The 12,345-nt window shown below is 40.7% G+C and overlaps 1 protein-coding gene across 2 annotated transcripts in view; it reads left to right on the top strand.

The window, feature by feature from the left end:
* SLC25A48 (solute carrier family 25 member 48) overlaps positions 1-12,345 on the top strand; it is a 309,466-nt gene that overhangs the window by 227,362 nt on the left and 69,759 nt on the right. For both annotated transcript variants that reach the window (NM_001349335.2, NM_001349345.2), the window contains exon 4: positions 5,990-6,393. The gene's annotated coding sequence lies outside the window, so the exon portion shown is untranslated. The remainder of the gene's footprint in view (positions 1-5,989; positions 6,394-12,345) is intronic.

Below are 12,345 nucleotides of genomic sequence, written 5' to 3' on the forward strand. Positions count from 1 at the left end.
CAAGATATTTTATTAATATCGTGTGTTAACACTAGATGTTATAAATATCATTGATTTTTTAATATCATAGTGTTTTCACTAGATATTATAAATATTGTAGATATTTTATAAATAACTTAGCACTGTGTGTTAATACTAGATATTATAAATATCATGGATATTTCATTAATATACTGTGTTAACACTGTGTGTTAATACTAGATATAATTATCACAGATATTTTCTTAATATCATAGTGTGTTAAAACTAGACATTATAAATATCATTATATTTTATTATTATTAGTAATATCTCAGTGTGTTAACATTAGGTATTATAAAATCATGGATATTTCAATAATATCACAGTGTGTTAACACTAGATATTATGAATGTCATTGATATTTTATTAATATCGTAGTGTGTTAACACTAGATATTTTGAATATCATAATAACTGTGTTAAAACACAGGATTAACACTAGATATTATAAATATCAGAGATATTTTGTTAGTATCATAATGTGTTAACACTAGATATTATAAATATCAAATATTTTATTAATATCATAGTGGGTTTAACACTGTGTTTTAACTCTAGATATTACAAATATCAAAGATATCTTATGAATATCATAGTGTGTTTACATCAGATATTTTAAATATCATGGATATTTTATTCATATCATAGTGTGTCACCACTAGATATTATAAATATCATGGCTATTTCATGAATGTCATAGTATGTTAACACTCTGTGTTAACTCTGGATATAGTAATTATCATGTATATTTTCTTAATATCATAGCATGTTATCACTAGATATAAATATCATATCTTGTTAATATCTTAGTGTGTTAACACTAGATATTTAAAATATTATGGATATTTCATTAATATCCTAGTGTGTTAACACTTGATATTATAAATATCATGGATACTTTATTAATGTCATAGTGTGTTAACACTATGTGATACATTACATATGATTATTATGGATTTATTATTAGTATCACAGGTGTTAACACAAGATATTATAAATATAATGGATATTTTATTAATAGTATAGTGTTAAAACTGAATATTTTATTAGTATCATAGTGTGTTAACCCTAGATATTATAAATATGGAAATTTTATTAATATCATAGTTTGTTAACACTAGATATTATAAATATGGAAATTTTATTAATATCATTGTGTGTTAACACTGTGTGTAAACACTAGAGATTATAAATATCATAGATATTTTATTAATATCATTGTGTGTTTACATTAATAAATATCATAGGTATTTTATGGATATCATAGTGTGTTAACACTGTGTGTTAACTTCAGATATTATAAATATCATAGATATTTTCTTAGTATCATAATGTGTTAACCCTGTGTGTTAACACTGTATATTATAAATATCTTAGTTTTTTTTTAATATCATAGTGTGTTTACACTGTATGTTAACACAAGGTCATGTAAATATCATACATATTTTCTTAATATCATAGTATGTTATCACTACCTAAGACAAATATAAAGATATTTTCTCAATATCATAGTGTGTTAACACTAGATATTATAAATATCATAGATATTTTATTAATATCACAGTGTGTTAAAACTAGATATTTTAAATGTCTTAGATATTTTATTAATATCATATTGTGTTAACACTAGATATTATAAATATTATAGATATTTTATTAACATAGTGTGGTAACACTGTATTAACACTTGATATTATTATAAATATTTTAGATATTTTATTAACATAGTGTATTATATATGATATTATCTATATATATGCTATATATCTATGAATTATCTCTGGAAAGGATATCTGATAATATTAATTATATCTGGGGAGGCTACAAGAAGCCAAGGATGATAAGAAACCCTAAATTTCACTTTATACTTGTTGATGTTACACAAAAAAACTTTTTTTCCCTCACCTCCCCCCTCACTTCCCTCCAAAGAATACTTTACCATAACCATTTAGTGCTTAAAAAAATACCCAAATCTTTTTCATCCATCTCTTGGCTGCCTTCTGCGTGTAGGCCCTCCTGTATGTGACATCCCATCTTAGAAAATCCTGAGGGGTAAGTGTTGTGGACATCGAGAGGACCAGAGCCCGCTTGCTTTTCTGATCCTGTCCTGTAAGATGTCGGTGTCAAGTCTTCCTTAAAGGTTTGCTGTGGAAATGAAATAAATTTGTACATGTAAAGCACAAGAACATGGAAGGTGCTTACTAAATGTTACTTATCTTTACTTTCTCTGCCTTGGTCCTCTCATACCCACTCCTGATTTTAGGTGATTGGGTGGAAATGGCCATTGAACATCATACTCTACTAACAAAGACCATTTGAGAGTTAGATTAATCTCTTTCCCGTTTCAACAACAGGAAGAAGCCCCACAAATCAAGTATTTCCCTTGTTCTATACCTTGTCATTTTGTTGCTACTCCCACCAGCCAAAGAGGGAGGAAAGTTTCTTGGTATAATTAAAATGTTATAGGCTGGGTCGGGGGGGCTCATGCCTGTCATCCCAGCACTTTGGGAGGCTAAGACGGGAGGATCGCTTGAGGCTAGGAGTTCAAGACCAGGCTGGGCAACATAGTGAGACCCATCTCTACAAAAAAAAAAAGATAGCCAGGCATGATGGCATCCATCTGTAGTCCCAGCTACTTGGGAGGCTGAGGCAGGAGGATCACTTGAGCCCGAGGGTTTCAGGCTGCAGGAAGCTATGATCATGCCACTACACTCCAGCCTGGGCAATAGAGCAAGACTGTCTCTCTAAAAACCAAAAATTGTTATAGAATATAGAGTTGAATAACTTTTCTGGAATGAGAAAGCTCTCATTTTAGATATCCATTCATTCATTCATTCAATAGTGTGCTGGATGCCAGGAATTTAATGGTGAGGAAAATAGACATGATCTCTGCCTTCTGAGGCTCAAGATCCTCCCTCTATTTTTAAAAATCAGGTTTATTGAAGTATAATTGATGTACAGTAAAATTTACTGTTTTTAGTGGAAACTTCTGTGGGTTTTGGCAAATGTGTAACCAACACAATTAAGATCTAGAACATCCTGTCTCTCCCCTCCCAATTTTCTTGTGCTCCTTTGGAGTCAACAACTCTCCCCCAACCTCTGGCCCCTGGCAACCACTGATCTGTCCTCTGTCCATGTGGATTTGTCTTTTCCAGAATGTCATATAAATGGACCAATACACAATATCATCTTTTGAGCCTAGCTGCTTCCACATAGTTTAACATTTGAGATTCATTTGTGCTGTTTTGAGTAGTACTGGTGAGTGGTACTCCACGGTACCAATGGACCTTCTTTTTTCTTGGAGAAAGAGTCTTGCTCTGTTGCCCAGGGTGGAGTTGCAGTGGTACAATCACAGCTCACTGCAGCCTCCACCTCCTGGACTCAAGCGATCCTCCTGCCTCAGCCTCCTATGTACCTGGGACCACAGGCGCAGGCCACTGTGCCCAGCTCGTTTTAAAATTTTGTGTAGAGATGGGGTCTCAATACATTGTCCAGGCTAGTCTCAAACTCCTGTACTCGAGTGATCCTCGAGTCGCAGCCTCCCAAAGTGCTGAGATTACAGTTATGAGCCACTGTGCTTTGCCTCAGATGGACCATTTTGATGCCATGTTGGGGACAAAGAAAGAAAGAGAACAACTCACTTTGACCAAATTGGCCCTGAGCTGATTGAATTCACTGGCTAAACTACATTAGTTTTCCTCCCATGGGGCCCAGTTAGGTCTGGGGACATAATTTAGTTGTAATAGAAAGATAAAAATGTCACTTCCTGCAACCTAATCTGTGGATTGTGAAACTCACATTCACTTGCCAATTACTGTTTTTGTCTTTTTGTTTTGGGTAATATGGCCCCAGCTGGCCTGTAAATGAGCAAAGGCCCCACTAAAAGTCCCTCTCCCCAGGCTTTATGCCACCAGTTGAGGCTGCAGCTGCCTGATCTGTCTCCCTCTGGAATTTTCCTTATGACAGAAAAATAAATTCCTGTTTGGCTAAGCCACTGTTGTCAAGTATCTATTACATGCAGCCAAAAGCAATCCTAACTGAGCAGGGAGATGACTGGCTCCTCTCTTTCTGCTCTGCCACACACAGCATGTGGTTTTTGTCCTACTCTTCCCAAGGAGGTTTCGTATTTTATATTGCAAGTCCCTGTGTGCCAGGGGCCTCTTGATATTCTCATTCGAGGCAGGAAGGCAAGGGTAGAACAAAGAGCAGACACATCACTGAACGCCTTCGCTTTTTATTAGGGAACGTCTTTTCCAGAAGGCCCATCATGTGTTTCCATTTTTAGCCCATTTGCCAGCACTCGCAAGGGTTCTCTGGCTGCAAAGGGGTCTGGATAAGCGAATGTTTCTCACTGAATCCAGGAGAAAATCATGGGAGGGGTTGAGTGGACACTGGGTAAGGAACCAGCAGCACCTACCGGAACTGACTTTGGCCACACAGGACGATGATCGGCTGCTCCCTGGAGTGTGTAGGGGAACTCGGGACTTCTTGCCTGGAAGCCTCCTGCAGCTACAGGGGCTTCTGTAGGAGGGATCCTGCCTCTGGATCCCCCTGGGAGACATGGCATAGGTTTCCACCACTCCAGGACTTCCAAACCCATGAAATGCAAGGAGCGGAAGGAGGGTTCCTCTGTTTCCCTATCCCCACCCCTAGATTCTCCCTGGGAAGGAGGATGGGCAGGGCTGCTTCTCAGAGCAGGAAATCCTGTCATTTGTGACATGGATGAGCCTACAGGACATTTTATAAAGTGAAATAAGTCAGGCCCAGAAAGACAAATATCTCATGATCTCACATATATGTGGAATCTAAAACAATCGAATTCATAAAAGCACCGAGTAGAATGGTGGTTACCAGAGGCTAGGGGTGGGGGATTGAGGAGATATTGGTCGAAGGGTACAAAATTTCAGTTCGTCAGGAGGAATAAGTTCCAGAGATCTGTTGTACAACATGGTGACCATAGTAACAATGTATTGTGTTATTGAAAATCACTGAGATTTTAAGTGTTCTCACCACAAAAAATAAGTATGTGAGGAAATACAAATGTTAATTAGTTCAATGTTTTAAAATATACATGTAATTTCAAAAGATCAGGTTTTACATAATACAGCATATACCATTCTTGTCAATTAAAAATGAGTAAGTAATTTAAAAAAAAATAAGTGCAGGAAAAATGCAATAAAAGAAAGACACCGTCCTGTCCCAATTCTTCCTTTGGTAAAATTTGCCTGTTTAAATATGAGTATTTAGGCTAGGTGCAGTGGCTCATGCCTATAAGCTCAGCACTTTGGGAGGCTGAGGTGGGCAGATCACCTGAGGTCAGGAGTTTGAGACCAGCCTGGCCAACATGGTGAAACTTTGTCTCTACTAAAAATACAAAAACTAGCTGGGTGTGGTGGCATGGGCCTGTAATCCCAGCTACTCAGGAAGCTGAGGCAGGAGAATTGCATGAATCTGGGAGGCAGAGGTTGCAGTGAGCTGAGCCCGCACCACTGCATTCCAGCCTGGGTGGCAGAGTGAGACTCTGTCTCAAAAAAAATAAATAAATAAACAAATAAATATGAATATTTAAGGGATTTTATTTACTGAATTGATTTTTATTTATTTTATTTTATTTTTTAAGCTTCTATGGGTACATAGTAGGTGTATATATTTATGGGGTACATGAGATATTTTGATACAGGCATGCAATTTGTAACAATCACATCAGGGTAACTGGAGTATCCATCCCCTCCAGCATTTATCATTTCTTTGTGTTACAAACACTCCCATTTATACTTTTTTAGTTATTTTTAAATGTGCAATGAATTATTGTTGACTGTAGTCACCCTGCTGTGCTTAAGGTTTTTTTAAGTGAATTAATTTATAGACAAACTGTAGACAACAATAGTCCTGGTGATAGGTGGGATTGTGAGAAATTAGGACAGGGGCACACAAATTATTGAATTTCAACTCTGTTTTTCTCCTTTCAGCTATCATCCCTCCTGTTATATTTGCATCTTCTCTGCACACCTCCACCTGTGATGTCTTCCTAGGACTCTCCAATGTGTCTGGCCCTGACCAAGCTTTTTGCCCTAAGTGTGGCTTATCTGCGATGTCTTTCTCCCTAACATCCAGTTCCAACCCCTTTGCGGGGTCCAAGGGCTCCTGGAGGAGGAGATGACTTCTGGGGCACAGCAAACCAAGATGTGTGCTCCCCAGAGCTGACTTGGAAGCTGTCCGGCCCCTCTGCATTCACCCCAGCTGCCCATGTACACCAGGCAGCAGGAGGGACAGCCACTGCAGGCTGCCAGCCTGTCCTTTGCTGTCTGTGTCTGTGTCAAGAGTGAATGAAGTGATAAAACCAGGAGAGCAGTGTGCTGTGAAAAAGTTAAAGGTGAGTGCCAGCTGCAGGTGGAGAAGAGGCGGCTGCTTCTGGGGGAACTGGATCCAAGGGCTTAGCTACGGGCCCCAAGCCCCGTAAAACTCAAGCCTGCCTTTAATTATGAGAGGGGCCCCCGGGGTTGTTGGGATACCACTTACCTAATCTTGTTAGAACATAAAGCTGATTTCTTTTGAAGACTCCTGGCTCAATGCATCCACCAGCTCCCTTCTGGAGGTGCCCAGCGCCTGGCCTTGCTACCTAATACCACTCACCCTCTGCCATCTCCCAAGGTTCATAACTCAAATGGGGAAGCCACAGGCTAAGAGGGGCCTCAGGAGTGATGGGATGAAGTCAGAATTTTAGAGAAAGAAGCCTGGTAGCAGCGTGGGTTGGGGGAGTGTTGAAAGTTGGGACCAGCTGAGAAATGCGGTAGTTGTCCACAGTCAGAGTGAGGGTGGGAATGAGAGTGGTTGAAGACAGGGCCAGAAGTGGACCCCAGAGAAGGAATAGCACACAGTGACACAGAGACTGTGCATGGGGTATCCAGATGACACTGTCTGATAGGTGAGAGATGTCAGGGCCATAGATGGGGCGAGAGGGAAGGAGAGCTATAAGACCCTTGAGTAGCACTGGTGTTGTTACTATGACCAGGATCTATTATATACAGCCATGGCTTTGATTTGTCAGTGTTGAAAAGGGGACATTACTCTGAAAGTTTGTCCTTCGGACACGACAAACTTCTTATCTGAATTGGAGAAGAGAGTTGGCAACCAGCTCATCTGGTAGTCAGGCAGAGAGGGAAAATTAAACACAACATCAATCCTTTCAGGCAGAAATCCTGGGCGGGAGGAAGAGCAATGTTGGGAAAAAGGGGAGAGAGGAGAACTTTCCCAGAGGGCAAGAGGAGGGTGCTGCGCTGAGTGCAGGCGCTCAGGAACAAAGGCACTTGATGTGCCCCACAGAGCAACTGCACCAACCCCCAAGCCGGCTCTGGGTGATGAGTGGTTGGAGACAAGGTCAGAAGTGAATCCCCGAGAAAGAAAAGCACATAGGTGACACAGAGTGTGCTATTCCTGTCACTCCAGGAAAGGAAACATGAAGGGCTGCTTTGATCAGAGGCACCCATGTGGCGGGTTTGGGGATATTTTCCCCCCATCATGGAAAACCAAGTTGCAGATGAAATGGAATCTGCGCTGCAGTTGAGCCAGGTGTTGAGAGTGACTTCTCACTGAGCTGAGGGTCCATGCCCATGAGCACCATTGCCATGGATGTCCCTGACTGGGCTTCTGCACCCTGGGCCTTTTCCATGCTCCATCCTTTGGCTGCCTCTGCTTGGGCACTTGTCCCTTAGATCCATTCCCTGAAGATTCACTCAGTTTGGTCACAGTCCAGCCCTTCTGCCTCTTGCAGACAGCCTACTCTGATCACTCCAGCCTTTGCTAACCTCTGCTTTCTGAGAACTCCAACTGCACGCAGCAGTGAGGGGATCATGTGTTCCTGGGATCATGTGTCCCAGGACAGTAGGAATGTCAAACATCCTGCCTGTGCTGTCCTCACCTGCTTCTTCCAGGATGGGTCAGATGGTCCCTGTTACACAGACAAAATATGAGTCATCAGAAAGGCTAGTGTCCCTCTCCTTCTAGATGGTGCAGTCTGTCTGGGCAGCAAGCATGCTTTTCCTGCAGAGTAGGGGCTAGAAGCACAGGCTCCGGAGTCAGAGGGACCTGGGACCAGGCACCCAGACACACTGACCTCAAGTGCCGCATCTCCAGGATGGTGCTCTGAATCCCCAGCCCTGGTGTGATGACAGTTACATGTGAGAGTATGCTTAAACTGTTTCCTTGGCACAGTTCCTGGTGCTGATTCCCACCTCCATCATTCTACAGCCCTGGACAAGTCATCGTTTGTCTCAGCTGGATCATCCAGGCTGGTCTCTGGGCATGAAGGCCTAGTGAGGATTCAGTGAGGCCATGGGGCCATGGGAGGCCACTGCCTCGTGAACTGGCAGGGCCTTACTGTGATGGGCCCACAGAGTACTGTGGGTTCTGCTAGACCAGATGCTGGAGCTGTGGGCCTTTTGTTACCTCCCAGTTTGATTAAGTTTCATCTTACACAGTGAATTATGTGCATTTCCTCTTGGGCTCTGTGCTGGCTGGGATAACTGAGGGCCTGCTATGGAGATCCTGGAACCCTGACTTTCACAGCATCTGTGAGGTGGATGTACTCTAAAGCAGCGGTCCCCAACCTTTTTGGCACCAGGAACCAGTTTGGTGGAAGACCACTTTTCCACAGAGAGGGGGAAGGCATGGTTGTGGGATGAAACAGTTCCACTTCAAATCATCAGGCATTAGTTAGAGTCTCATAAGGAGCATGAAACCTAGATCCCTCACATGCACAGTTCACAACAGGGTTTGTGCTCCTATGAGAATTTCATGCCCCCCACTGATCTGACGGGAGGTGGAGCTCAGGTGGTAATGTTCTCTTGCCAGCTGCTCACCTCCTGCTGTGTGGCCTGGTTCCTAAAAGGCCACAAATCAGTACCAGTCCATGGCCTAGGGGTTGGGGACCCCTGCTATAAAGGCACCAAAAGCTGCTTGCAGGTAAGGAAGAGCATCAACCACACAGAAAGGCCTGAGGGGCTGCCTTTGAACTCTCTCTATGTATGGGTAAGGGCAAAGGCTAGCACATATTGTGGAATGAAGAAAGCAAGTTGCAGTGAGAGTTTCCTTTATGTAAAATTAGTTCTATCCATCCATGTCTACAGATGCACATGGACACAGGGGCAGGCCTGGAGCCACATTCACCAAGCCAGAAGGGATACGTGTAGTCAGTGCACCTTCCCAGAGTGCAGATATTCTCTGTCACCTGCATGTTCTTGCCATATCTGATTATGACCTGTAATACAGATATTTAAACAGACTCATATTTTTATTTTAAAAAAATCTACTCACTCTTGTCCCAAGCAAAAGTATCTGAAAAATCATGGCTTAGATGTTGTATTAGTCTATTTTCACACTGCTGTGAAGATACTACCTGAGACTGGGTAATTTATAAACAAAAGAGGTTTAATTGACTCACAGTTCCATATGGCTGGGGAGGCCTCAGGAAACTTACAGTCATGGCGGAAGGTGAAGGGAATTAGGTGCCTTCTTCGCATGGTGGCAGGAGAGAGAGAGCGTGCAGGGAAAGCTGCTATTTTTAAAACCATCAGATCTCGTAAGAACTCCCTCACTATCACAAGAACAGCACGGGGGAAACCATCCCCATCATCCAATTACCTCCCACCAGGTTCCTCCCTCAACATGTGGGGATTACAATTGGAGATTAGATTTGGGTGGGGACACAGAACCAAACCATATCAGATGTGGTAACTATATTTTTTCTAACATATATTACATAAAATATATTACATTAATTTGCTACTAAAATAAAAACAGTTAACCTGTGTGTCATCTAAAATCGTTTTTCATATAGTGCTTTTGTACAACTGGCAAAGTGATTAAACACTTCGCTTCAGAATCCAACTACCAAAATTTGAATTCCAGCCCTGCCATTTGCTACTGTCTATTACTCAATAAATTCTTACCCTCTCTAAACCTCATTTTCTTATCTTTACATAGGGATGATCATTGGTAACTACCTGATAAGATTATTCATAAGAAATAAAATAATCAATGAAGAATGACTAGTGTAGTTTCTGGCACAGAGTAACCACTCAAATAAATGAGACTGTTAAAAGTTGGTTATTAGGGACTTCTGCTTATAGTCATGGTGAGGTAACTGGTACTAGATTTGCCCTCCCACTATAAACAACAAGAAAACTGAATAAAATAAGAAACCACTATTTAAAGATGATGGAAAACAGAAAACACAGGACAATGATCCAAAGAGAAAGAGAACAAATGAGGTGAGCCCTAAAATTACCTCAGCTTTCAACCTGAAGGCATTCTTTAGAATGTAACATTGTATTTGACAATTTCACTGTACACAATTAGATCTCAATAAAACCAGCTAAAAAAGAGAGACATAAAAACCCCAAAATATTTAGAGATAAATTTAACATATATGAAACTGCAGAGGACCTAGAATATATTTTTGTTTATATTGTAAAAATATAAAAATGTATTTTAGAAAGAGCAAAGTTGGCAGACTATCCTAGCTATCAAGGAATATAGCAAATTTATAGCAGCAGTGCTCAATGGGGCCAATTTCCCCCCCAGGGAACATCTGGCAAAGTTGGGAGACATTCTTTATTGTCATTACTCTGGAGGGAGGAGAGCAGTATGATATTGGCATCTAGTAGGTAGAGGCCAGAGATGCTGCTAAACATCCAACAGTGCACAGGACAATGGCCCGAAACAAAGAATTATCTGGCTTAAAGTATCAATAGTGCCAAGGCTGAGAAACTGTGATCCACAATAAGGCAGTGAGTAGAGATCAATGGAACAGAATAGACAATCCAGGTATGAATCCACATGTATATTACTGATTTTTGACAAATATGCCAGTGTATATCAATGAGGGAAAGAAAAGTCTTTTCAGCCAGTGAGGCACAATAGCTATCCAAATGGAAAATATAGATAAATCTTGCTCCCAAACTCAAATAGCATCAATGAACTCAAATGGAATCACAGGCCTAAATATAAAAGCTGAGGCTATAGAACTTGAAAAATAAGGTAGGAAGAAATGTTCACAATCTTATGGTAGGCAAAGATTTCTTAGATAGCATACAAAAAACACAAAAAATAATAGATTCCATCAAAATTTAAAATTTCCATTTCCTAGAAAGACTTTGTTAATAAAATAAAAAGTCAAGGCACAACCTGGGAGAAAACATTCACAATACCTATTTCTGACAAAGAACTTGTATCCAGCATACACAAAAAGCTCTTACAACTCAACAGTAAGACAAACAATCTTACAAGAAGTGGGCAAAATGAAGGTCATAGCATGATAGCCTAAGCTCACTATGGCCCATTTTCCCACTTACTATACCAAAAACTCTATACAAAACGCAAAAACTAGCTACCCGAGAACTCTAAAAAGTAAACAAAAACATTGTGGAGGAGAGGCAAGATTACTTGGACTTAAGACAGTGATCCATGCAGGGGAGAGTTTCCCAGGTTTGTTCTCTCTGTTCCTCTCTCTCTCTCTCTCTCTCTCTCTCTCTCTCTCTCTCTCTCTCTCTCTCTCTCTCTCTCTCTCCCTCTGTTTCTGTTTCTTTCTCTCTCAGCTTTGCCCAGAAGGCACATTCTAATTACACAACAGCAATGCAGTGGTGGCAAAAGGATGGCTACTCTAGAAGAAATCCAGTATTTCTGGTCAAATGAACCAGGACAGAGACCCTGGAAGGAAACAAAGCATGAGGACATCCAGGAGGGAAGGTAGCCAGAAAAGCAGTCCTCTAATTCTGTGAATAAATGCCTACAAGTCTCAGCCTAACTCCTGAGTTATGCATGAGTGGGATAGATCTAAACCAGAATAGAAAAGCCTTCAGAAAGAACCCAACTAAGATTTAAACCATGTGCACACATCTTTTTATCCTAATTGCTAAATAATGCATCCAAAAAACAGACCCAAATGAATACAGCAAATGCTTAGAGAACTGAAATTTGCACCACTGTAGACGAAAGACAAGACAGAACTTGCAGCTCAAACCTAACTAAATTGATTTCCTGATAAAGCTAAAACATCAGCTCTCTACAGAGGATTATGTACCTGACCCAAAGTCTACACAAAATGATATTCAAAATGTCTAGGACAATCTAAAATTACCCAGCATACAAATGACCAGAAAAATGTGAACAATTCTCAAGGGAAAAGACAACTAATGTCAACCCCAAGGTGGGCCATGTGTTGGAATTATCATCAAAGACTTCAAAATGCTATTACAACTACGTTCTGTGAGGTTAAGAAAAACACATTTGGCACGAATAAAAAGAAGTTCTCAATAGAGAAATAGCA

The sequence above is a fragment of the Homo sapiens genome, chromosome 5, assembly GCF_000001405.40.
Source record: "Homo sapiens chromosome 5, GRCh38.p14 Primary Assembly".
In the NCBI taxonomy this organism is placed as follows: domain Eukaryota; kingdom Metazoa; phylum Chordata; class Mammalia; order Primates; family Hominidae; genus Homo; species Homo sapiens.